We start from the raw sequence: 27,684 nt of genomic DNA, 5'->3' as shown, positions 1-27,684 counted from the left end.
TACAGGTGTGAGCCACCACACCTGGCCTATCCCAATCTTACATAAACAGTTCTGTGAGATAGCTTTGGTGCAGTGGCTCACACCTGTAATCCCAGCACTTTGGGAGGCCAACGCAGGCGGATCACCTGAGATTGGGAGTTTGAGACCAGCCTAGCCAACATGGTGAAACCCTGTCTCTACTAAAAGTACAGTAATTAGCCGGGTATGGTGGCACATGCCTGTAATCACAGCTACTCAGGAGGCTGAGGCATGAGAATTGCTTGAACCCAGGAGGCAGAGGTTGCACTGAGCTAGGATTGCTGCTTATTTTATGATGTTCATATAATCTTGATACCAAAATCAGAAAAAGAAAATAAAAGAAAAAATACGGGTACATTTCACTTGTGACCATAGATAATAAAAATGAGTAGATAGGCCGGGCGTGGTGGCTCACACCTGTAATCCCAGCGCTTTGGGAGGCCGAGGCAGGTGGATCACCTGAGGTCGGGAGTTTGAGACCAACCTGTTCAAAATGGAGAAACCCCATCTTTACTAAAAATACAAAATAAGCCGGGTATGGTGGCGCATGCCTGTTATCCCGGCTATTTGGGAGGCTGAGGCAGGAGAATCACTTGAACCCGGGAGGCGCAGGGTGCAGTGAGCCGAGATTGTGCCATTGCACTTCAGCCTGGGCAACAATAGCGAAACTCTGCCTCAAAAAAAAAAAAAATATATATATATATATATATATATAGATAGATAGATAGATAGATAGATAGATAGATAAAGTTTTCTTTGGCTTCTCTCAGCCTTACTATTTAATGACTTTTTTTCCCTGTATCTATTCTACTATCTTCAAACAGCATCTTCCCCCAAGTTCAGATTGTCTCACTAAGATGTAAATGAACTAGTCCTCTCCATAAAACTACAGCTTGATTATAGCTACCCTGCTCAAAACTCTCCACTAGTTTTCTTTTTCTTTTCTTTTTTTTTTTTTTGAGACGGAGTCTGGCTCTGTCGCCCAGGCTAGAGTGCAGTGGCGCAATCTCGGCTCATTCCAACCTCCGCTTCCTGGGTTCAAGCGATTTTCCTGCCTCAGCCTCCCGAGTAGCTGGGATTACAGGTATGTGCCACCATGCCTGGCTATTTTTTGTATTTTTAGTAGAGGCAGGGTTTCACTATGTTGGCTAGGCTGGTCTCAAACTTCTGACCTCAGGTGATCCACTTGCCTCAGCCTCCCAAAGTGCTGGAATTGCAGGCATGAGCCACTGTGCCTGGCCCTCTCCACTAGCTTTCTATTACACTTCTAATAAAAATCCAAGTTCCTTACTGGGACCTATAAAAGACTTACATAATCTTATCCTTGTCTTTCTCTCTAACTTCGTCTTTTATCGCTGTCCCTCTGGCTCATAGCTCACCAGCCATACTGTTCCTCTTTAAACCTTCTAAGTGTGCTTAAACCTTAGAGCATTTATATTTTGCTATTCTCCTGCCAGTAATGATACTACCAGGTAACAACTTGGCTCATTTCTTCACTTTATTTAGGCCTCTACTCAAATATCACACCCTCAGAGAGGCTTTTCTTGATGCCCCTATCTAAAACAGCCCCTCTGTTATACCCTCTCTCTATCTTGCTTTATCCCTACCGTGCATTATATTAGTGATATTAGTAATTGTATTAGTCAGGGTTCTATAGGGGAACAGAACTAATAGGATATATGTATATACGCAAGGGAGTTTATTAGGGAGAATTAACTCACACAATCACAAGCTAAAGTCCCATGATAGGCCATCTGCAAGTTGAGAAGCAAGGAAGCAGTGGAGGGGATCAGTCCGAGTCCCAAAACCTTAAAAGTAGGGAAACTGACAGTGCAGCCTTCAGTCTGTGGCCAAAGGTCCGAGAGCTCCTGGCAAACCACTAGTGTAAGTCCAAGAGTCCAAAAGCTGAAGAACTTGGAGTCTGAACTTGGAGCTGAAGAACTTGGAGTCGGCCTGCTTTATTCTAGCTGCACTGGCAGGTGATTAGACAATACCCACCCAGATTGAGGGTGGGTCTGCCTCTCCCAGTCCACTGACTCAAATGTTAATCTCCTTTGGCAACACCCTCACAGACACTTTCAGTCAAGGGAGCAATACTTTCAATCAAGTTGACACCCGATATTAACCATCACAGTAATTTATTTATATTCATATTTGTTGTCTGTTTCTCTCACCACAATGTAAAACTACAGAAAATCAGGGATTTTTTGTTGTTCACTGTTGTATCCCTACCACCTAAAAAAGTGTCGGAAACATAGTAGATACTTGGAAGTGTTTGTGGAACGAATATTGTAAAGTGACACATTTCTAAAGACATTTGCCTTAGCTTTGATTTCTTTTGATTGACCAGATATATATTGAGTATCATCCTACAATGTGTTAAGTCTTTGTTCTAGGTGCTAGGGATATAATGAGCAAGACAGATAAGGTCCTGCTTTCATAGAATTTACAGTATAATATGTATAGAGGTGTATCTGGTTTATAATAAAACTATGGAGAAGATAACAAGAAAAAATATCAGATGATAGTGAGTACTTTCCAGAAAGCTAAAATATGGTGACATGATAGTGAATAATTGAATGACTAGTGTGGGTTGTAAGGTCAATAAAGGCCTCACTGAAGATGGACTATTTAAGCTGAGACATTAAAAATGGAGGGGCCATCTAAGTGAAGGGCAGAGTGAAGAATATGGGGGTATGGCTAGTGCCAAAGCCCTAAGGCCATGTATAAATATAACTGGAGAAGGTTTGACATTTCTGGGCTTTGTATTGCTGATGATCACCTTGCTAGAAAAGGACTGAAGAAATGTCTTGATAATAAAAGACAGTCTTTGCAACTTGCTTTAGTCACGGTCTAGTAAGTGATGAAAATGTCTAGTTCCATTTTAATTATGTACATTTTCTTTTCTTTCTTTCTTTTTTGAGACAGAGTCTCGCTCTGTCACCCAGGTTGGAGTGCAGTGGCGTGATCTCAGCTCACTACAAGTTCCGCCTCCCGGATTCACGCCATTCTCCTGCCTTAGCCTCCAGAGTAGCTGGGACTACAGGTGCCCGCCACCACGCCCAGATAATTTTTTGTATTTTTAGTAGAGACTGGGTTTCACTGTGTTAGCCAGGATGGTCTCAATCTCCTGACCTTGTGATCCGCCCACCTCAGCCTCCCAAAGTGCTGGGATTACAGGCGTGAGCTGCCACACCCAGCCATTTTTTGTATTTTTAATAGAGCCGGGGTTTCACCGTGTTAGCCAGGATGGTCTTGATCTCCTGACCTCGTGATCTGTCCGCCTCGGCCACCCAAAGTGCTGGGATTACAGGCGTGAGCTACCGTGCCCAGCCTATTTTCTTCATTTTTATATAACAGCAAGGTGTGACAGAAAATAGGGTATCCATTGTTTGTAGTTGTCCCTTTTACAAGTAGTATTGAGTCTTGCTATTGAACTTTTATCTTTTTGTGCTGGACTTACGGTTCCAGTTATTTATTATTATTATTTTTTTGAGATTGAGTCTTGCTCTGTCACCCAGGCTAGAGTATAGTGGCACAATCTCGGCTCTCTGCAACCTCCGCCTCCTGAGTTCAAGTGATTCTCCTGCCTCAGCCTCCCGAGTAGCTGGGATTACAGGTGCCCACCACTGTGCCTGGCTAACTATTTTTGTATTTTTAGTAGAGACAGGGTTTCACCATCTTGGCCAGGCTGGTCTCGAACTCTTGACCTAGTGATCCACCTTCCTTGGCCTCCCAAAGTGCTGGGGTTACAGGCATGAGGCACTGCGCCTGGCCCCAGTTAATATTTTAATGGCTTCATATGAGGGTATTATTGAGCTCTAGTCCTGCAGTCAAGCATATCACTGTCTTCTGTGGCCTCTGGGTTGTGAAGTTGCATTTAACTATGGCTTTGAATTAGTGCTGTTTGTTCAAGCAGGAGTAAATTCAGGGTACTAAATGGGACTCCTGTGATAGTTGAGTAAACTAGTGGTGTTAAAATATATGGCTTTTTGGCCAGGTGTGGTGGCTCACGCCTATAATCCCAGCACTTTAGGAGGCGGAGGAGGGTGGATCATTTGAGGTCAGGAGTTCAAGACCAGCCTGGACAACATGGCGAAACCCCTTCTTTACTAAAAATACAAAAATTAGCTGGGCATGGTGGCACACACCTGTAATCCCAGCTACTCGTATAGCTGAGGCACGGGAATTGCTTGAACCTGGGAGGCAGAGGTTGCAGTGAGTCAAGATCATGCCACTGTACTCCATCCTGGGCAACAGAGCGAGACTCTGTCTCAAAAAAAATTTTTTTTAAATGTCTTTTTGTTTTTGTCCTTGGAAAACCATTGGTGGGAAAGCAGATTACAGTAGCCATGAATTAAGCGAGAATAGAGTTCTTATATTTTCCAGTGGGTGCTGTGGAAGAAATTGAGGAGTAGTAAGTCAAGATAGCTGAGTTTTAGGTCCAGCTTGGCTTCAGAATCACTGTATGACTTAGGGAAGTCTGCACGGGGCCTCAGATCCTACCAAAAAATAGAGGCTCTTCTAGAGTTTTAGGTGTTCATAATGCCACTCATCCTTCCTTTCTTCTAAGGTTCTTAGCAGTAGATTAGACACATAGAAATCAGTAGCCAAATTGGAAAACAAAACTGCTTTAATGGCCGGGCAAGCACCTGATGGAGAGGATGTGGCCTAGACCTGAGTCCTAAATGGTGTCTTTTACCTCTTGCTCTAGATCTAAATCGAAATCTAAATTTAAATCTTGCTCTAGATCTAAATCTGAGAACCTTTATGCTCATGTGGTCTGTAGGAGTTATGATTGAGTCTTCAGAGCCTGATGGACTGATGCAGTAGACCTGCCTTACTAACCTAGTCACATTTGGAAAGACAGCTTAGAGATCTCATGGTAAGCTTTGTCCAGAGTGCACCTACCACAATGGGTAAAAAAAATGGTAGAGAACTTAGTGAACTAGGGCACAGGAAGTGAAAGAGGAAACTGCTGGTCTTGTCCCTGGCTTCTGTGAAATCTAACGTGGTATGTATGACCTTGTAAGTAATTCTAATTGGCTCTATTTTTCCACTAAGAGAAACAAATCTAGAATGGAGGAAGGGGGAGTGGGAAAGCTACATATTTTCTCATTTAAACTCTACCCTTGTGGGGAGAATCATCATGGGCAGAAATTTTATCTTCCCTGTGAACAGAGGCAGAAGCCTGAGAAAAAGCAAAAGAAACTTACACCTTCTCCCTGAAGCCTTTTCAGACTCTCTGTGTTTGTTATGCACTCCACTATACCCATTAAGTTTGGTACAATAAGCGAAAAATTCTGAAATACTCTTTATCTCTGCTTCTTATAACCATCCAGCAGCAGTGGTAATAGGTATCTACCTGTGCTCCTAGCCCTCGTCCTAGCAAAGAGGTGCATGCATCCACTGAGCAGGGGTGTGTGTGTGTGTGTGTGTGTGTGTGTGTGTGTATGTGTGTGTGTGTGTGTGTATATGTATATATATATGGTTGTTTTTTTTTTTTTTTTTTGAAAGACAGTCTTGCTCTGTCACACAGGCTGTAGCGTGGTGGCATTATCATAGCTCATTGTAACCTTGAACCACCCTGGGCTCAAGCAGTCGTCCTCCTGCCTTAGCCTCCCAAGTGGCTGGGACTAACTACAGGCATGTGCCATCATGCTTGGCTAATTTTTAAATTTTCTGTAGAGATGGGGTTTTGTGCTGGGTGTGGTGGCTCACGCCTATAATCCCAGCACTTTGGGAGGCCAAGGCAGGTGGATCACCTGAGGTCAGGAGTTCGAGACCAGTCTGCCCAACATGGTGAAACCCCATCTCTACTAAAAATACAAAAATTAGCCAGGTGTGGTGGCAGGTGCCTGTAATCCCAGCTACTCAGGAGGCTGAGTCAGGAGAATAGCTTGAACCTGGGAGGCGGAGGTTGCAGTGAGCCAAGATCAGGACATTACACTCCAGCTTGGGCAACCTGAGCGAAACTCAGTCTCAGAAAAAAAAGAAAAAAAAAGAGATGGGGTTTTGCTGTGTTGCCCAGGCTGGTCTTGAACTTCTGGCCTCAAGTGATTCTCCCATGTCACCCTCCCAAAGCACTGGGATTATAAGTGTGAGCCACTGCACCTGGTCGGAATGTGTATTGATATTCATACAGTGTGGCTTTTTCTTTTGGTAATTTCTCTCTGTCATCCTGTACTGAGGCCATTCTAGCCACTCTACTCTCCTCTCTCCCTGTTATCCCAACCATGAAAGATAACTGAGAAGCGTCATAGTAGAACTGTTGTGAGACTTAGTTATTAGAAGGACATGCTGAGGACGCTTTCAAATAGTTCTCATCCTACTTATTTTTTTTTTTTTTTTGGAGACAGTCTTGCTCTGTTGCACAGGCTGGAGTGCAGTGGCACAGTCTCCGCTCACTGCAACCTCTGCCTCCCGGTTCAAGCAATTCTCCTGCATCAGCCTCCTGAGTAACTGGGACTGCAGGAGCATGCCGCCACACCTGGCTCATTTTTGTATTTGTAGTAGAGATGAGATTTTGCCGTGTTGGCCAGGCTGGTCTCAAACTTCTGAACTCAGGTGGTCCACCCATCTTGGCCTCCCAAAGTACTAGGATTACAAGCGTGAGCCACCACACCCAGCCCTCATCCTGTTTCTGTTTCTCCACCACCTCATAATCTGCACAAATATTAATCCTTACATTTTTCTCTCTTGTCTATTTCCTACTATTTCAGTCTTTGGTGTCCTTCCTTAATACAACATAAGTCACATCCATGAGAGCTCTGACTTAGAATTGAGAGGAAAGCTCTAGGATACCAGCTTTGGAAGGAGCTAAATCAATCAGCCAATTCAGTCCTATTTTTGACTAGGAGAGGTACTGAAAGAGGAAGTAAAATGGTCGATTTACGCCTTAGCTTCTTCACTCAGAATGATCAGGATGATTTCTGCCTTATAGGATTTTAGAGAGGTCAGTATGTGATAAAATAAGATAGCATATATGAGCAGCGGGCCTTGCACAGTGCATGTGCTCAGTAACTTCTCTTTGCCAAGTCACAGAGCTAGTTAATGGATGAGCCAGGACTTAGATTTTATAGGGCTTTTTTTTTTTTTTTTTTGAGACTGTCGCTCTCTGTCGCCCAGGCTGGAGTGCAGTGGCGCGATCTCAGCTCACTGCAAGCTCTGCCGCCCAGGTTCATGCCATTCTCCTGCCTCAGCCTCCCGAGTAGCCGGGACTACAGGCGCCCGCCGCCACGCCTGGCTAATGTTTTTGTATTTTTAGTAGAGACCGAGTTTCACCATGTTAGCCAGGCTGGTCTCAATCTCCTGACCTCATGATCCACCCACCTCGGCCTCCCAAAGTGCTGGGATTACAGGCGTGAGCCACCGCGCCCGGCCTTATAGTGCTCTTAATTCCAAGTTATTCGTGTCTTTGAGCATTCTAGAGGTGAGTTTTTAACCAACTCACAGGTTGCTCAAAAGGTCAGAATCAATGTGGTCCTCAACATAAAGTCTCATTTCAATCTAGTTCATTTATGAAGTAAACTAGAAACAGTGCTTTTTGGCCCTTGTAGATGCTCAGTAAGTTGTTTAAGTGAATGGATGAAGCGATGATGCTCTTTCAGGAATAGATGAGCAATTGCCAGTGGGGGACTCCTGTGGCTAAGTATTTTTGTTTTCAAAGTAGAAAAAAACAGTAGGTTTTTAACTTTTTAATATCTCCAAATAATTTGCTACAATTTCTTTTGAAATGATTTTTCTGTGAGTGTGACTTCTTCATGCTGGCTTTTTTAGTGATCAGTATTTGTGAGGTTTTAGCAGTGCAGCAGAAAAGGAGACCTGGCCAGGCACAGTGGCTTCCTACTGTAATCTCAACACTTTGGGAGGCTAAGGTGGAAGGATTGCTTGAACCCAGGTGTTTGAGACCAGGCTGGGCAACATAGTGGAACCTCATCTCTACAAAAAAGTAAAAAATCAGCCAGGCATAGTGGCACGTGCCTGTAGTCCTAGCTACTTGGGAGGCTGAGATGGAAGGATTGCTTGAGGCCAGGAGGTTGATGTTGTTATGAGCTGAGATTGTACCACTGACTCCAGCGTGGGTGACAGAGTGAGACCCTGTCTCCAAAACCAACAAACAAAAAATGATTTAATAAAAAGAAAATGAGACCTTAAAGTGGCCTGTAAATAAGTTTTTTGAAAACTTTATATATGTAAGTAAATGTCTGAATGATTCAGTTGTAATTTTTTTTTCCGGCCGGGCACGGTGGCTCACACCTGTAATTCCAGCACTTTGGGAGGCCGACGCAGGCGGATCCTGAGGTCGTGAGATCGAGATCATCCTGGCCAATATGGTGAAACCCCGTCTCTACTAAAAATACAAAAATTAGCTGGGCGTAGTGGTGCGTGCCTGTAGTCCCAGCTACTCTGGAGGCTGAGGCAGGAGAATTGCTTGAACCTGGGAGGCGGAGGTTGCAGCGAGCAGAGATCGCTGGTGATAAGAGTGAGACTCGTCTCACTTATCTCCAGCCTGGTGGTGAGACTTATCTCCAGCGTGGTGATAAGAGTGAGACTCCTCTCAAAAGAAAAAAAAAAAATTTCCCAAAGTGCTTTACGAAACAACTTTTTGTTATTTTCATGAATGATATTGTAGGGAAGCAATAAATGTTTTCCCTCCACCCTCTGGGGTCTTGGCTGGGTACAAATTGCATTTACATAAAACAGATTAACAAGAGGAAAACATACTTAATTATATATGTACACATAGAAGCCCCACAAAATATGAGACTCGAAGAATGATCAAATGATTGAAACTTATATGGCATCCTGAGCTACAGAAAGGAATAGGAGCGTGGGGCTTCTGGTGGATGGTATGATACAAGTTATGAGAGGGTAAGGAGAGGAAATGTATGGTGAATAAAGGTTGTCTTATTATACAAATAAAAGGTCTCTCAGGTAGTAAAAATGGTCTCAGAGTAGCTCTCAGAAGAAGAGGTGATCATCTGTCTGGGTATGGTTTCAGCCTTCAGTCTCCTTTTCTGTAACATGAGTTAATTTTCCCTGGTTGATAAGATTCCTAGGGTGGGGGTTCAGGACAGTTGAGTTCCTTTTGGAGGATCTGTCTTTAGGCAGATAAGGAGAGCTCATAGAAAGCCTGTGTTTGTGTCAGCTGTTCCCCAAGTGCCCTCAGTTCAAAGTAAGCAGCATACCAAAGTGTCATATTGTGGGGTTGGCATTTCCTGAACTCCGTCAATATTTATCCGTAAAAGTATTTTAAGTTATCAGTATTGTAATTAGAACAATGCATGATTTGATATATTATTCTTAAAGTAATTTCATTTCTCAAGAATAAATTGATATAATCAGTATTTCAAGTACATTGTGATTACTGTTCAACTTAAATTTAATTGTAGTGAGCATCATTGTTAGATTTTTAAAAGTGAAATTTGAAAGTACTGGGCTGGTAAATGTTTTTTAATAAGGGGCCACTTAAAAGTGGCTCATTTTTTGGGAGGCCAAGGCACGCGGATCACCTGTCAGGAGTTTGAGACTAGCCTGGCCAACATGGCAAACCCCCGTCTCTACTAAAAATACAAAAATTAGCTGGGTGTGGTGGTGCATGCCTGTAATCCCAACTACTTGGGAGGCTGAGGTAAGACAATTGCTTCAACTCAGGAGGTGGAGATTGCAGTGAGTCAAGATTGCACCACTGCACTCCAGCCTAGGTGGCAGAACAAGACTCCTTCTCAAAGAAAAAAAAAAAAAAAGTGTGTTTAATTTTAAGAAGAGGACATTTCCCAAAAGTTATGCACTCTGGATGAAAGAAGAAACTTGTCCTCAATTAAAGCACTGATGGAAATCACAACACATCTAATTGGAGTGAGGTACCAAACCCATTTATACAGTTTATTGCCTATTGATAGTTCAGTGACTACTGAGATTAGCTTGTTAGCATCACATTTTGAAAAAGAACTGCGGGTATTCTCTACGGTTGATTTAATGGATAGTCAGAAACTTGGTCACTACTCTAGGAAACAAAAATTGATATGTCTATAAATATTTCTTTGCTTTTTTCAAATTTTGTCTAGATGGTTAGAATTGTGTTTTGACAGTTTTGCCATGTACTACTTGATGCATCACAATATATCACTATCATCACTAATTACCACATTTTGATTAATTTTACATACTTTGGTTAATACATTTTGATGTATCCAATATATCACTATATTGATTAAACAGTAATTATAGACCTGAGGCCACCTGAACTTTGAAATCATCATGAAAAATGTTATTAGAAATTATGTGAAACCAAATGTTTATTTATCTAGACATGTTTAATTGCCAGCAAAGAAAGCAATTAAAAGTAGCTGTAGAGTAAGAGGCCAACCTTCGTTAAACATGGTTTTAAGATTGTTACAGAACTTGTGGTGATGATAACATGGTGTCTTGGAGGATGTTAACAACTGTAGCAGGGTGTTAATTAAGAATGATGTAATCTGCAGCTCAGAATTATTAGTATATGTTAGTTTAGCTGGACAGGAGCAAAACCTAGTTTCAGTTGTGATGAGAGCTCAAATCATATTTATAGTGGAAAGATTAACATTTTATTTTTATGCTGTTCCTGAGACAATTTAAAAATCCTGAATGAAATACAATCTAATGTAAACATCAAGGCCCTAGCTCATTTACATATGTGCCAGATTTTCAAACTGATTGCTATTTGAACCTAATCTGTCATTGCTAGCTGCATTAGCTACAACAAACATTACATTTACATATTGATTTCTTATTTTGTTTTAGTGTAAATAACCCATAATTATGGTAAATTTGGTCTTTTGTTGACAAGAACTCATATGACTCTGTAAGTTTAGAATGGAAATTTAAATTGCCATGTGTCACGCTTTTTAATTTAAAATCTTGATGTAGCTAAAGAGATAAAAATAATATTGTAGATCACAAAGTATTCCTAAAGAGACAAAAGAGAGAAAAAATGTTAGGGCATTTGGAAAGATATAAATGGTAAAGTATTAATGAAAAATTCAATACCACATTTTAAAATTATTACATTTTTATAATTAAAAAAATCACAGTAATCTCAAATAAAGTCTTTGTTCTTGCTTCACTATCAGGCCATATTTAGAAAATAAAATCTAGTGAAGATGAACCTTATAAGCCAATTTTAAATTGTTATTTTTGTTTAAAATATACAGTGCAAGAAAAGAAATAACATATGCACATAACAGGAATGAAATGAGATTTCAATCACTGTATTGATGTTAGTACTTTATATTCGTCTTAACTGCACACATAGCACTGATTTGAGAAGTATAATTTCACTGCTGAGAGCTCATATTTGTCAGTGGACATATAATGTTATTTGCTCTACTTGATGCAGCAAGTCCATGGTTCCCATTTACACTGATTAAAAGTGGATTGTGGCCGGGCACGGTGCCTCATGCCTGTAATCCCAACACTTTGGGAGGCTGAGGCAGGCGGATCACAAGGTCAGGAGTTGAGTCCAGCCTGGTCAACATGGTGAAACTCTGTCTCTACTAAAAATACAAAAATTAGCTGAGCGTGGTAATCCCAGCTACTCGGGTGCCTGTAATCCCAGCTACTTGGGAGGCTGAAGCAGGAGAATCGCTTGAACTCGGGAGGCGGAGGTTGCAGTGAGTCGAGACCACACCATTGCACTCCAGCCTGGGTGACAAAGCGAGACTCCGTCTCAATAAATAAATAAATAAATAAATAAATAAATAAATAAATAAATAAATAAAGGATTGTATTTTTGAAGTTAAAAATATAGGGCCCATGTAACTGTAAAAATGGTCACTATTCGATTATTCAGGCATTTTTTTATGGTTAATGTTTTTATGGAGTTATAATTCATATACAATAAACATACAATTGTTTTAAAAATTGTTTTACAGACATGAGGTCTTGCTATGTTGCGCAGGCTGGTTTTGAACTCCTGGCCTCAAGTCATCCTCCCACCTCAGCCTCACAAAGTGCTGGGATTACAGGCATGAGCCACCATTCCCAGCCAGGTCTTAAGTGTCTCTGAGTTATACGAGTTTTGACAAAAGTATATTGCTTTCTGTGATACCCTATGAAAAGGGATTTTAGTGAGTGAGATTTCAATTTGGATTTGTACATTAGAAGCCTGTGCTGAACTCATGACAGCTGTTTACTTGAGTACTATGAATACAGAGGCCCTAAAAGCCTTTATATTAGTCCCCTTGGGCTGCCATAACAAAATACCATTTATTGGGTAGCTTAAACAATAGCCCTTTATTTGTGAATGTCAAAAGTCCAAGACCATGGTGCTGACAAAATCAGTCCCTCATCCTGGCTTTGTCACCTTCTCATTGTGTCCTCCCAAGGCAGAAAGAGAGAGAAAGCTCTTATCTGTCTTTCTCTTCTTATAAGAACACTAATTGCATCATCAAGGCCCCACTCTCATGACCTCACCTAAACCTGATTACCTCCCAAAGACCCCATATCCAAATAATCATCACATTGGGGGTTAGGGCTTCAATGTATGAATTTTGGAAAGTATACAAACATTCAGTTCATAGCAGCCCTGAAGCCCAGGTATTGTGTCCGGAATTGGTTCCTTCCAGTGGGTTCTTGTTCTCGCTGACTCCAAGAATGAAGCCGCGGACCTTCGCGGTGAGTGTTACGGCTCTTAAAGATGGTGTGTCCAGAGTTTGTTCCTTCAGATGTGTACGGAATTTCTTCCTTCTGGTGGGTTGGTGGTCTCGCTGACTTCAAGAATGAAGCCACGGACCTTTGCAGCAAGTGTTACAGCTCTTAAAGGTGGTGCAGACCCAAAGAGTGAGCAGCAACAAGATTTATTGTGAAGAGCAAAAGAGCAAAGCTTCCACAGCGTGGAAGGGGACCCGAGTGGGTCGCCACTGCTGGCTGGGGTGGCCAGCTTTTAGTCCCTTATTTGTCTCTGCCCACATCCTGCTGGTTGGTCCATTTTACAGAGTGCCGATTGGTGCATTTACAGTCCTTTAGCTACGCACACAGCACTGATTGGCGTGTTTTTACGGAGTGCTGACTGGTGTATTTACAATCCTTTAGCTAGACCCAGAGCACTGATTGGTGCGTTTTTACAGAGTGCTGATTGGTGCATTTACAATCCTTTAGCTAGACACAGAGCTCTGATTGGTGTGGTTTTACAGAGAGCTGATTGGTGTATTTACAATTGTCTAGCTAGACACAGAGTGCTGATTGGTGCATTTTACAATCCTCTAGCTAGACAGAAAAGTTCTCCAAGTCCCCACTCGACCCAGGAAGTCCAGCTGGCTTCACCTCTCAGTATGAATTAATCTTTCCTAGTCTAGTTGTTTAATTTTGATGTATACTTTATAATAGTGAGTGCTTCCCCTAGTACTATTAATGTATTAATAGGTGGGCTATGGGTTAGTTTAGCTAATTCTTCTGTCTACTGAAGACTTTAAGAGGGAGTTCTGGATTCAAGGAATTCCTAGAGAGGAAATCCTTAAATTACTGTGATTATTATTGGTTCAAGACAGTTTGCCTACTACTATTGTACCCTGTGAAATGGGCCTGCTGCTAGTTGGCAGGAGGGAAGTCATTCCTCTTCTTCATCAGGAATTAATAAAGTGGATTGTTTTACTAACATAATTCAACCTTAAGTTCACCTTGAAAAATTACTTTGTGTATTAAAATAACCCTGTGCTTTCTTACAAGTGGGTTGCAGAAGTACTCTCTGAATGAGACATAAACTCAGTCAAGACAATAAAGAGTGTTACATTTATTTTCTTTGTGTTGTTGATGATTTTATCAATACTTGATATATGTAAGCTAATAATATATGGCTTTGTATGTTCATATATATAAAAATACCTGTGCTAGAGCTTCAAATTTATTAGGGCCTATGTTTTAAAATTTGCTATACCTAATTTTCCCCTTTTTAAAAAATGTGGAGGGGTATGTAAAATGTATAAACTAAGCCGGTGACTTAAAATTACATTGGTACTCATTAGAAGGCTGGTATTTTACAGGTAACCTCTCTGTTCCTGATAAATATTCATAGTTAAATTGGAATGGGATCTCCCCAGGCATAGCTAGATGGACATTCTGCTAATGAAAGAGCATTGGAAGCCTAAGACTTGTGGACAAAGAAGAGAGTAGAGAAAAGAAGTTTTACTAAAAAGATTTCTAGAACTGTTAATGGCATAGGTATTAATGCTTAGTAATAGTACTGAGAATTTTAAAGTGGTTATCTATCTATATTTTAATAGTATCTTCTGTTACATGCCAGATTTATTTATTTATTTATCTGTTTGTTTATTTTGAGACAGGACCTTTCTGTGTTGCCCAGGCTGGTCTTAAACTCCTGAGCTCAAGCAGTTCTCCTGTCTCCGCCTCCTAAGTAGCTGGGATTACAGGCACACAGCACTGTGCCTGGCTCCCACCCCGCCACCTTCAATTTTAAAATTAAGAAACAGTATAGAAAAATTATAAGGTGATATGTTTGAAAATGTCTAGCATTTTGCATACTCAGTGCTTAATAATGTTAACTTTCATTTTATTTTGTTGCAAATAACACTGGAGCCCCAGGGACAAAGTCTGTGATTCTGATTATATTTTGAACATTAACTTCAGTCTATATCTGAGGGTAGATGAAGAACTGTTAGTTTTAATAGTCTTTTTCTGTTTGTAGAAACCAAATTGTGTCCTTGTTGATAATGCAAATAGATATATATTTTTAGAACTTTGCAACAGGTTTTTTTTTACTTTATATCTGTTACAGTGTTTGAAACCTAAAGAAATACATTTTCTCTTCAAATTTGGATGTGTATATAAATATCATTTGTCTGGACTCAGGACACTCAATGCTATGGTTTCTTGGCCTACGTCTGCTCTGAAATCAAGCTGTGTCTGTCTGCCCAGGGGCTCTGAGAACATGGAAAATAGACAGAGCTTAGAGTTATTAGAAAAATAAAAGCAAATGAATTTGCAAAGAAAAACCAGTGAGGAGAAGGATTTGATTCATCTTCCAAGGGTCCATAGCTGTTAACCCAAGCCATTCTTGGGGGATATCCAGTCTCTTGAGTGGCTGGGACTCCATACCCCCTTTCCTTCTTTAATAGGTCTGTCAAAGGCAGTTCCCACAAAAGCTGGCTAAAAAACTGATACCCAGCTCCAGCGTCTGAGGGTTCATGAAGATGTGGAGGTTTTTTTGTTTGTTTGTTTTGGTTTTTTGTTTGTTTGTTTTTGAGACAAAGTCTCACCTTGCTGCCCAGGCTGGAGTGCAGTGGCAGTCTTGGCTTACTGCAATCTCTGCCTTCCAGGTTCAAGAGATTCTCCTGCCTCAGCCTCCTGCGTAGCTGGGATTACAGGCGGCCGCCACCACACCTAGCTAATTTTTTTTTTTTTTTTAATTTTTAGTAGAGACACGATTTCACTATGTTGGCCAGGCTGGTTTTGAACGTCTGACCTCAAGTAATCCACCCGCCTCAGCCTCCCAAAGTGCTAGGATTACAGGCGTGAGCCACGACACCCAGGCGAAGATAATGCAAATATTTCTATTGAAAAAAAATCATAATGAAGAAAAAAAATATTTATACCAGTGAAGAGAGAATGAATATATGGTCTGTCAAAACCATTTCTTGCATTGAGTTAAAATTCAAACTGCTTTTAAAAAGTTTGTATATCAGGCCAGGTGCGGTGGCTCATGCCTGTAATCCCAGCACTTTGGGAGGCAGAGGCGGGTGGATCACGAGGTCAGGAGTTCCAGACCAGCCTGGCCAAGATGGTGAAACCCCGTCTCAACTAAAAATACAAAAAAATTAGCTGGGCATGGTGGGTGCCTGTAAACCCAGCTACGTGGGAGGCTGAGCCGGGAGGATTGCTTGAACCCAGAAGGCAGAGGTTACAGTGAACCGAGATCATGCCACTGCATTCTAGCCTGGGTGACAGAGCAAGACTCCATCTCAAAAAAAAAAAAAAAAAAGCTTTTACATTTGCCAGGCGCAGTGACTTACGGTTGTAATCTCAACTACTCAGGAGGCTGCAGCAGGAGGATCACTTGAAGCCAGGAGGAGACTAGCATGGTCAACATAGCAAAACCTTGTCTTTGTTTTTTTTTAAAAGGTTCTACGTTTGCTTATATCTTTTTTTCTGTCTCTAATTGAAAAGAAAACGTAGTTTTTTGGCCGGACGCGATGGCTCATGCCTATAATCCCAGCACTGTGGGAGGCCAAGGCGGGCAGATCACCTGAGATCAGGAGTTCGAGACCAGCCTGGCCAACATAGTGAAACACCGTCTCTACTAAAAATACAAAAATTAGCCAGGTGTGGTGGCACATGCCTGTGGTCCCAGCTACTAGGGAGGCTGAGGCAGGAGAATCGCTTGATCCTGGGAGGCGGAGGTTGCAGTGAACCTAGATCGTGCCACTGCACTCCAGCCTGGGTGACAGAGTGAGAGACTGTGTCTCAAAACAAAAGAAAAAGAAAACATGCCTTTTTTTTTTTTAACTGTTTCATTATTTCTTTGGTTAACACTCATCCTTTTGACCCTGAAGATCAAAAGTTGAAGCAGCGTGAACTTTTTTTTTTTTTTTTTTTTTTTGAGGGTCTGGCTCTGTCACTCAGGCTGGAGTGTAGTGGTGTGATCTCAGCTCACTACAACCTCCCCCTTCTATCCTCAAGAGGTCCTCCCACCTCAGCCTCCTGTAGCTGGGACTACAGGCGCGTGCCACCATGCTGGGCTAATTTTTGTATTTTTTGTAGAGTCTGGGTTTTACCTTGTTGCCCAGGCTAGTCTAGAACTCCTGGGTTCAAGTGACCCACCCACCTTGGCCTCCCAAAGTGTTCAGATTACAGGTGTGAGCCACAGCGCCCCCCCAACTTGAAGGTAAAAGACTGCTCCAAGGTGGCTTAACCATGGCTAACTATCATAACCAACATAAATTAGGGGGTACTGTGTGAGAGAAAATTGCTCCTGGATGCTGCAGCTGAGGACTCAACACATAGTTAGCTTTAGAAGCTAGGATCAGTTTGCCTAGATAACATTTTAGCAAAAATGTCTTTGCAAATTACACAGATTACCATGGCATTTTTTTTTCTTTTACAACAGAGTCTCTCTCTGCTGCCCAGGCTGGAGTGCAGTGGTGCGATTTCGGCTCACTGCAACCTCTGCCTCCCAGATTCAAGCAATTCTCATACCTCAGCCTCCCGAGTAGCTGGGATTAGAGGCGTGTGCCACCACGCCTGGCTCATTTTTGTATTTTTAGTAGTAACAGGGTTTCACCATGTTGGCCAGGCTGGTCTCAAATTCCTGGCCTCAAGGGATACACCCACCTCTGCCTCCCAAAGTGTTAGGATTACAGGTGTGAGCTACCAAGCCCAGCAAACATAGCGTATTTCTTACAGCCTTCCCCACTAACCCCTCTCCTCAGAGTCATCACAAAACAAAACTTAAGCAGTTCACATGCCAGTTTCTGTGGAAAGCATCACTGGTCTAATTTAGTTGTTATTCTGTGTTTCCATAGCACCTTAGGAAAATCAGTATTACAGAAGCACAGGGGTACTATATGTGAATTGCAAGTTTGCTTCTTTGCCCATCCCTCAGTAGACTCAATAAGGGCAGAAATGTGATCTTACTGTGTTCACTTCCTTAGTACCTGAAGGTCCAATCATAAGAGTGTTATCTCTGAAGTTAGACCTAGGTCATTGCTACCTTTTTTGTATGATAGTAATTAAGTAAGTAACATCAGTTTCCTCATCTGTAAAATGGAAATAATGATAATAACTTCATAATGATATGAATCTCTTAATGCCTGGTATGTGGTAGCGCTTGTTAAGTGTTAGTCATTATTATTAATGGCTAAGTGAATGGAGCAGGCTAGAGTCTAAGTTTAAAGATAATACCCTTATCTGACTTCTCCAAACAAACTCTACTCATAAGGAGCACGAATGTGGTAGAATCAACCCCAAACAAGACCTCTGTAAAAAAGAACAGGCCGGGTGTGGTGGCTTATGCCTATAATCCCAGCACTTTGGGAGGCTGAGGCGGGCAGATCACGAGGTCAGGAGTTCAAGACCAGCCTGACCAATATAGTAAAACCTTGTCTCTACTAAAAATACAAAAATTAGCCGGGCATGGTGGTATGCGCCTGTAGCAGCTACTCGGGAGGCCGAGGCAGGAGAATCGCTTGAACCTGGGAGGTGGAGGTTGCAGTGAGCCAAGATCATGCCATTGCACTCCAGCCTGGGAGACAGAGTGAGACTCCATCTCAAAAAAAAAAAAAAAAAAAAAAAAGTCAGTGTGGATAACATTAGGCACAATATACAGTTATGTTTGGTGATCAAAACAAGGTTTTATTCTGTATGAACTCCTGCCAGGGGATAGAACTAAAACATGAAAAGTAACTACTACAAAAGCACTGTAGATCCTTTTGCTGATGTTTCACTATCACTGTAAGATTTTAAAGTATGAGTACCCTTCAAAAGTGTTCTGTTTTCAGTAAGTTGTAATAGCTCACCTTATAACTTATGTGCAATAAAAATTCCCACTTGGCTGGGTGCGGTGGCTCATGCCTGTAATCGCAGCACTTTGGGAGGCTGAGGCAGGCAGATCACGAGGTCAGGAGTTTGAGACCAGCCTGACCACAATGGTGAAACCCCGTCTCTACTAAAAATACCAAAATTAACTGGATGTGGTGGTGTGTGTTTGTAATCCCAGCTACTCAGGAGGCTCACGCAGGAGAACTGCTTGAACCTGGGAGGTTGAGGTCGCAATGAGCCGAGATTGCGCCACTGCACTCCAGCCTGGGTGACAGTGCAAGACTCCATCTCAAAAAAAAAAAAAACAAATGCCACTTGGCCGGGCTCGGTGGCTCATGCCTATAATCCCAGCACTTTGGGAGGCTGAGATGGGCGGATCACGAGGTCAGGAAATTGAGACCATCCTGGCTAACATGGTGAAACCCCGTCTCTACTAAAAATACAAAAAATTAGCCGGGCGTGGTGGCACACACCTGTAGTCCTAGCTACTCAGGAGGCTGGGGCAGGAGAATCGCTTGAACCCGGGAGGCAGAGGTTTCAGTGAGCCGAGGTCGCACCACTGCACTCCAGCCTGGGTGACAGAGCGAGACTCTGTCTCGAAAAAAAAAAAGGGTTTTTAAATGTAATATTCATAGTTCTATGAGTGAAGGATTATCTTCCTCTTCTAAGAATTTGCAGAGTGGTTAAGTGCCTAAAATAGGGTCTTTTACATGTTAGACACTCAATAAATATGGTTGAAAGAATGAATGGGGAAAAAAAGAATGAATGACTTGTCGAGGTCAAAGAACTAGCAAGTAGTGAAACGGATTCAGATCTGGCTTTATGACTCCAAAGCAGTTTAAAGCCATAAATATTATGCTTGCCAAATTACCCTCTTCCACAGCTATCCAGGAATTGTAGAACTAGACAAAATTGGTGTTCTAAAGCAGTCTGGCAGTCAAACTGGTCCTGGCAAACCTGTTTGCAAAGTTATTACACAAGTCTGCCAGTCAAGATCAAGAGACATATCTAAGGAATTGCATAAAGGCAAGCACTAAAAATATTAAACATATGCATAGATTCATATGTAAAGGTAAAGGAAGATCTATATAACAATCAAGACTTCTGGAACTCCGAGCTCCTCAGCCTAGCATTTGAAGCCCTCCATAATGGAGGTCTTTAACATTGTTAAGGTTTTCTCTGTCAGAAACCTTTCTTCACATCACCTTACACTTCTTCCTCATTGCTTTCTAACACGTTTCTTAATATTCCCCCATCGTCGTTTCTGAACTGTTCTATGTCTGAAATCATCCTCCATATCTACTTATCAAATTATTGTCCATTTTTCTTCATAGTACTTTAAAGTATTCTCCCTTCTCCACAATCTTAACATCTTTTCGAACCTCTCTGAGGTCAGTGATTTCTATCTTTTATTCCTGTATTATTACAGATAATAGGAATCAAATAATTATAGAGTGAATGAATGAGCGGTAAACTTCTAGCAGGCAGGAGTCTTGTTCACCTTGTATCGCCCAAGCAGCCTAGCCTTTTGGGAGATAGGATGCTCAGGTTTGAAGAACATAGAATCAAATATAGGTTAGGGGCTGGATTCTACCTCTTTGTAGCTTGATGACCAGGGACAATTAGTTCCACCTCTTTGTAGCTTGATGACCAGGGGCAATTAACCTTTCAGAAGTATAATTTTGTGAGTAAAATGAAACCTCAGGCTAAAAAAATGATAATCAGTAGTTCTTTGTATGCAGTTCAGAATATGCAGAAGTATTTCTTGAATCTTTATACAGTTGAATTGAATCACCTTCTAGTGTGCTACTTTCCAAGGGATATACTGATAAGTAATCAGTTATTATAAAAACATATATAGTCTAGAATTCAGGGTATCCACACATGAAACAAAGCAAACTGTACAAGACAATAAAGTATGTGATATAGGAATTCAGAGGAGAAGAGAAGGTCATTACTAAACCCAAGTAGAGGCCTGAAAGGTGATCTGAAAGCTGTGCAGTATTTGGAAGGGAGCAAAGGAAAGGAGGATGAGAACAATATGAACAAAGATTGTAGTGAGCTTGTTTTTGACATGAGGGGATGTCAGACAAGCTCTAGAGAAAAAGCCACATTTTGGAGAATAGTTGTACAATAGATCTACCTTTGAAAGGCCTTCAAACCTCAGGAAGTCTTTCCATTACTCGCCATTTCTGTCCTCAAATTCATTCAACATACATATATTGATCATTGACCCCATCTATTGTTTGAGCCTCATTTCCCAGTAGACTTCTCTCACGCAGCCTTCACTGCAGTCACATTGAGCTTTTGGCTGCTTCCTGAATGTGGTCATTTTTCTGCCCTTCCCACCTTTAATGCCTCAGTAGCATTTGGCGTAACTGATCCCACCCTCCTATTTGAAACAGTTATTTCTTTTGGCTCCCTTATACTAGACTTTCTTGATTTTTCTCTTCTCTCACTGATGATTTATCAATCTCCTTTAAACTGACTCATTCTCCTCTGCTTGATTTCAAATGACTGAAATGCCCTAGGGTTCCATCTTGGCCTCTCTTTTGTCTGTGTCACTTATTTTTCTAGGTGATTTGTTTTGGCCTCGAAGCCTAAAAACTGACTATATGGTACTGACTCTCCTGCTCTGGGCTCTCTTACTTGACCTTTGAGTCTTATATTCAACTCTACATGACATTTTTTTTTTTTGACTGTCTAATAGACATCTCAAAACATCTCAATGGACATCTCAAACTTTGAACGAAAACTTCACTCTCAATTTCTCCACCTCACCTGCCACTACTCCACTTTTTCTTGTTAAATATAATTCCATTCTCTTATTTACTTAGGCCAGAAACCTTGGGGTTATGTTTTTCTCTCACACTCCATCAGTAAGTGGTCTGACTTCCACCTCTAAAATATATTCTGAACTTGACAGTTTTTCATCTGTGCCTCTACCACCTTAGTCCAAGCTACTGTCACTTCTTTCCTGAACCAGCCTCCTGTCTGCTCTCCCTACCCCCAGTCTTTGCTCACTGTGGCCAGAGCAGCCAGAATAATCTTGTATAAATGTAAATGTAAGTCATATCTTACTAGTTCTCTTTATAAAATGTTCCAGGGGCGGGCCGGGCGCTGTGGCTCACACCTGTAACCCCAGCACTTTGTGAGGCTGAGGTGGGTGGATCACGAGGTCAGGAGTTCAAGACCAGTGTGACCAACATAGTGAAACCTCATCTCTACTAAAAATACAAAAATTAACTGGGCGTGGTGGCGCACGCAGCTCCTTAGCACCTGGAACAGTGCAAGTCATCAAGTTAATGTTGATACATAAATGAATAAAATCAAAGTCTTAACTCCTATGGTAGTTTCCAGAAGGCAACATTTCTGTGTGAGATACAAAGATGAATGACTCTTGCCTTCTAGAAATTCACCATTCATTATGCAATAAATATCTGTAGTGTGCCACACATTATGCTTAATTTCTTTTCTTTCTTTTCCTTTTTTTCTTTTTTCTTTTCTTTTTTCTTTCTTTTTTTTGGGACAGCGTCTCCCTCTATCGCCCAGGCTGGAGTGCAGTGGTGCCATCTCAGCTCACTGCAACCTCCACCTTCTGGGTTCAAGTGATTCTCCTGCCTCAGCCTCCCGAGTAGCTGGGAGCCCAGCACGACGCCCAGCTAATTTTTTTTTGTATTTTAATAGAGACGAGGTTTCACCATGTTACCCGGGGTGGTCTCGAACTCCTGAGTCCAGGCAATCCACCCGCCTTGGCCTCCCAAAGTGCTGGGATTGCAGGTGTGCACCAGTGCACCCAGCCCATTATGCTTAATTTTTATGGATATAATGACAAAGGTCCTTGCTTCAAGAAATTCTATTTTAGTTGGGTGTGATTTTCTTTTATTTTGGTTACTAATATTTCATGTTACATATATTGGTGCTCGCTAAGTATAGTCTACAATTAACCTGTGAACGCTATGGAAGACAATAGGGCAGACAGATTATCTGCCTAATTCTTTTTTTTTTTTTTTTTTGACACAGAGTCTCGCTGTGTCACCCAGGCTGGAGTGCAGTGGCACAATCTCAGCTCACTGCAACCTCCACCTCCCAGGTTCATGCCATTCCTCTGCCTCAGCCTCCCAAGTAGCTGGGACTACAGGTGCCCGCCACCACACCTGGCTAATGTTTTGCATTTTTAGTAGAGACGGGGTTTTACCGTGTTAGCCAGGATGGTCTTGATCTCCTGACCTCGTGATCCACTGGCCTCGGCCTGCCAAAGTGCTGGGATTACAGGCGTGAGCCACCGTGCCCGTCCTATCTGTCTAATTCTGATCTTTATGTTGTGTGTGTATTTGTCACATAGTTACAGATGGGCAAAGGAGGAAAGTTGAAGGTTAAAACCATGGAGCACACCCAAAATATTTTCCTGGTACCATAGGCATGGCAAAATTACACTTGAGACAGACAGTAGAAATTATTCAGGCATACTGATGATAGGTCTTTATTTTCAATACTGATGAAAATAATATTTCTAATATTAGTTTAATACTCATTTAATATTAGTTTAATACTTCTGTATTTCACTTGTAATTGAACCAGAGTCTTTGAGTATACATTTTAGTAGCATATTTGGAATTTGATATAATTGACAGTTCCAGGAGGAGATAAAAATAGAACCATGACTTACATTTCTTGATTTTTTCACTAATTTCAAATACTCTTCATGGTTCTGATAAATTTCTAAATTTTGGAACTTTGTTATAGGCTTTACAAAATGTTGCTATGATTTCTCCAGTTTCTAAATTCTGTGTATTACTGAGTCCTAAGTGAAAGCACAATTATTTTGAATGAATTTTTACATAACAATTGAAGTTCTGTAGATTTCAATATCTTCTGAATTTTGACTGAAATCAGATTCATGAATATAAATAATAGTTTCATACTTCTGTTATTCTAGAACAGCTGTTTCACTTGGAATTGAACCAGAGTCTTTGAATATACATTTTAGTAGCATATTTGGAGTTGATATAATTGACAGCTTTGTTGGAGGAGATACGTATGCAGATATTATGAATTAGCCTATGACTTGTAGAAAATTCTTAAGTATACAAAGCATTTAGACTTGAAATTTAAAAACACCTTGGTAGAGAAAGAGTTAACAGGTTAGCTCCCCTTGGTTGTTCTCAGTGTGTTCTCTTGCCTTTAGGAGCTGAAAATATGATAACATTGGGCCCAGACATGCCTGTGTGGAGGTTAGGGTACTCCTGGGGTTTTTGCAGCTAGCTGTAAAGCAAGCTAGAACTTGTTCATCTCTGAGTTCCTTGTTTTTCTTTCAACCCTTTCAGTGCCCTGCAGGAGTCATTAAATCAAAACTTCATGCTGATCATCACCCACCGAGAAGTCCAGCGGGAGTACAACCTGAACTTCTCAGGAAGCAGTACTATTCAAGAGGTGAGTTATGTCTCACAGCTAAGAAATAAAGGTAGCTCATTATAGCTAATGTTGACCCTGTTAAAGAGGGCTTATCTGTTCTGGTTGGAAATTCTCTTTATGTTTCATTATTGGGTTCTTAAATTTTAATTAACTGGAGCATCAATGATTACTGTAGATATACTAAATGACTTGACCTAGAAAGATGTAAATGGGAACTCTTGATAATTTTTAAACTAGTCAACTTGAAACGCTGCTTAAAAATAACTGATTATTATGTAATATATTTCATGGTTTTATAGTCATTATTCAAAATACTATGGAAATTGTTGACAACATTCATTTTGGAGGATGCTTATATTTTATTTGAAAGGTTGCTCTCAAATAATTATTTATATTGTGTACTCTGCCTGTTTCTAAAAGGAATTTGAGGGGACTTTTCTTAAGCAGCTCCATCCTGCCCTTGGGCAGTATGCCTAAGATGCTGTTGGAGACTATCTTTTAGCTTAGAATATGAGAAGAGTCTATTTATAGTGTCAGTATTTTCTTCAACACGACCAACCAGGGCCACTGTTTCAAAAGAGAACCTCCCCCAAGAGAGAAGAGGTACCTTGTTGGTATGCCTTGGGCCCCAGCCACCTAAAAGCTAGTAATTCTATCTTCATGGAGGGTGGGGGGAACATTTAAGGCTATGACAGGACTTATGTTTAGAAACATTGAAATGATGACTATGTTGCATTACACCTTATAAGTTATGAAAGCAACAGTCATTTGTCTACTAATTTTTCTAAAGAGAATTAATCATGCTTAATCTTGGATTATTTTATAATGTTTTTCTTAGACTACATTTCTTAAAATAATCACTTAATGTCATTTTGAAAGAACCAGTTTTCACCCTAGTGTTTTCTTTCAGAAATATATGAACTGTTTCTGTAGACTATTAATGGTTTCCTTTTTTATATTGTGTTAATGAATTTCAGCTTCTGAATTTGACATGAATAACTCATTGCTTTATTTTCTTCATTGATTACTTGAATAGTTTGTTGACTCTAGAAACTAAACTCTTTAAAATTTTTTTCTGATCTGATTCCTAAACTGAATTGTAGGTTTGCGTTATTTAATTTTTTTTCAGGATTTTAAATATGTATAAATTGTAATTTCATTTTCAACCTCCATAATGAGTATTTTATTCTCTAAATTAAAAAACTTAATTCCTTGAAGAATCATTTGTGTTTTTATGGTAGAAATAATGTTTTGCCGTGGCTCCATCTCCGAGTTATTATAGCATCTGAAATTTTACAGGATAGTAAAATCTAAATTGTATATGTGAATATATGAAACAAGGAAATTTAGATTTAAAATAACTTCAGTTTAACCAACATGACAAAGATAAGAGGTAAATTCATTTTATTGCTGACTTGATAATTGAAGAATAGTATAATGTATGATGAATAAATATAGTTTGCCTTTTTTTCCTTCGGGGTTGAATTTTCTAGCCATAATTTTGCTGCCACCCTCTCAACCCCCACCCCTAGTTTCTGTTATTTGAGTGTGTTTCAGCTTTCTCCCACAAGAGGGCAGAAAGGACTATTCAGCAGATAGCCTAAAAATGCTATTCAGTGTTTTCAAATTAGCTTCTCTTATATTAACAAAAAGGAGCATAATGGCCAAGTTATTGTTTGATTTACAGATAATTGGCATATTGCAGGGAGGAGACTTAATTTCACCCTTTTAAATTAAACAGGGAGATTTAAAAAGACATAAAATATTCATTAATGTTCGGTGATTATAAAGTAGTGGCATATATTTATTTTGCCTTTATTACTGTTTCGATGGGAAAATACTGCAAATATTTCCGAAATCGAGTTGGCCATACTGACAAGTTGAAATGTTTAAGCAGCGTTAATGCAATCTGCTCACACCTGATATCCTATGCAGAATGATTCAAAATGACTACATCAATTATTAAAAGAAATATTTAAAATTCTGTAAATGTGCCATTGTGTGCCACAGTTGGCTGAAACTGTTCTCCGTGGCCTGCTATGTAGATTATCAAATATATCTTAAGCTTCAAGGACTTAAAACAGTAAATCTTTTTTATACCATTTTCTAAATGTCATTTTAAAAATGTTCCAGAAATATTTTTGCAAAGACAGATATTCTTATGTATTTCTTGTCAAGAATTTGGTTTCTTCTCCTTTTTCCTTTTTTTCCCTTTAAGTTAATTTAAAATAATATTTTTAAATGCTAGTTTGCCAGGAACAAATAAATGCAGTTGCTACTTATGTCACTTGCTTCTCTGTGAGTAGACAGGTACACATAGGCTGTTTTATTCTGTACAACTTAGATAAAGGATGTGGGACCTCTCTGGGCCTAGTTCTGTGACTTTTCTGCTTCAACTTGTGCAACACCTGTGATGGAGGGGGTAGTTTCAGGTGAAGGACAAGGTGCCCTTATCTACAGCTATTCAATCCACAATGACACTTAAGTATGTACATTTTTTCTTGTTGCATGATTGGAAAGTTAGTTTGATTGCATCAAGATAAAAATATAATTGTGAAACTATTTTGTAGTTTTATTTTATAATGCTAGTATTTGTCTTTTATTAATGTGAAAGCTTAATGATACCATATGTGCTAAATTGTAAATTAATCTATCTCACCAGTTTCAGGAATTTCTTTTCAGTATTAATAGGTCCAAGAATAAATCCTGACTAATATAATTGAGGGAAAGGAAAAAATGTTCAAAACACAAAGGTTCCTGGTCATTTTTTTAGTGTATTTTATATATATATTTTTTTTAATTTTTGAAAGCCTTGCATTTTTAAAAGAAAACTTTGCACTATTTTTCACCCAGAGGGAAATTTCTATTAAATGAAACAGGATTGAAAAAGGCACTATGATTTCAACTTTTAATTAGAACAAAGTACATTTTTTTAAAATACTGAGTTAGAAAATAGAACTAAAATGCAGTTTGAATTTCAAATAAACTATTCAATGACCATATGGTCATTGCAAGTTAATGGTGATAAACCAAGAGTTGTACAAGTGTTTGTTCATTCTGGCTTTGTGGTCTGCTGCCTCACAATGCGTGACTTGTGTCCTTTAGGTGCTCTAGATTTTAATTTAAGCCAGTTAGTTATTGAGGGTTTTCATTTTGATTTTGTTTTTTTAAAACTCTGTACAAATCCTTCCAGTTACATTATCCTCCTGGTTGGGGAGAAAGCAGTGACAGTATAAAAAGGTCAGAATGGAGAGAGTTGCAAGTAGTCTTAAAGACGAAAAATCTTTTCTGTTTTCCATTATGACCAAACAGCTTGTAAAAAATATCAAAGAATGTGACAGTAACTCTGTGATAGTCTGTCTTTTCAACCTTTTTGGGTCCTAAATTAACTATTTGTCACACTTTAAAATTGTGAGTTTCCTTAAATTTAAACAGGCTTACCTTATTTTAATGAATTTTTTTTACGCTGAGAATTCAGATTTGTCAACAGTTTATTGTGCAGATTCTAGTAATTCTCACTAATACTATTAAAGATCTGTGGTTACAAATGCACTTGGGGTGGGTTAAATTAAGGGGAAAAAAGATTGATTTGCTTTCAGCAAATCCAAAACCCAGGTGTGGAAAAGGATATGAAGTCTCTGAAATCAAGCCAACTTTTCTTGGAAACTGATTCTTTGTTATCGGCCTTACTACTGCAGAAGCTTCTGTTAGGCAAAATAT

At 40.2% G+C, this 27,684-nt stretch overlaps 1 protein-coding gene across 5 annotated transcripts in view; it reads left to right on the top strand.

Moving 5' to 3' along the window:
- The window catches only part of FAF1 (Fas associated factor 1), a 523,240-nt gene that overhangs the window by 230,500 nt on the left and 265,056 nt on the right, over positions 1-27,684 (top strand). For all 5 annotated transcript variants that reach the window (NM_007051.3, XM_047442745.1, XM_047442743.1 and 2 more), the window contains one exon: positions 23,877-23,982. In NM_007051.3, coding sequence (NP_008982.1) covers positions 23,877-23,982 — 106 coding nt within the window. The remainder of the gene's footprint in view (positions 1-23,876; positions 23,983-27,684) is intronic.

This window comes from Homo sapiens, chromosome 1 (genome assembly GCF_000001405.40).
Source record: "Homo sapiens chromosome 1, GRCh38.p14 Primary Assembly".
Taxonomy (NCBI): Eukaryota; Metazoa; Chordata; class Mammalia; order Primates; family Hominidae; genus Homo; species Homo sapiens.
Note: the sequence above shows the minus strand (reverse complement) of the source record. Positions and strands in the feature narration are given on the sequence as shown.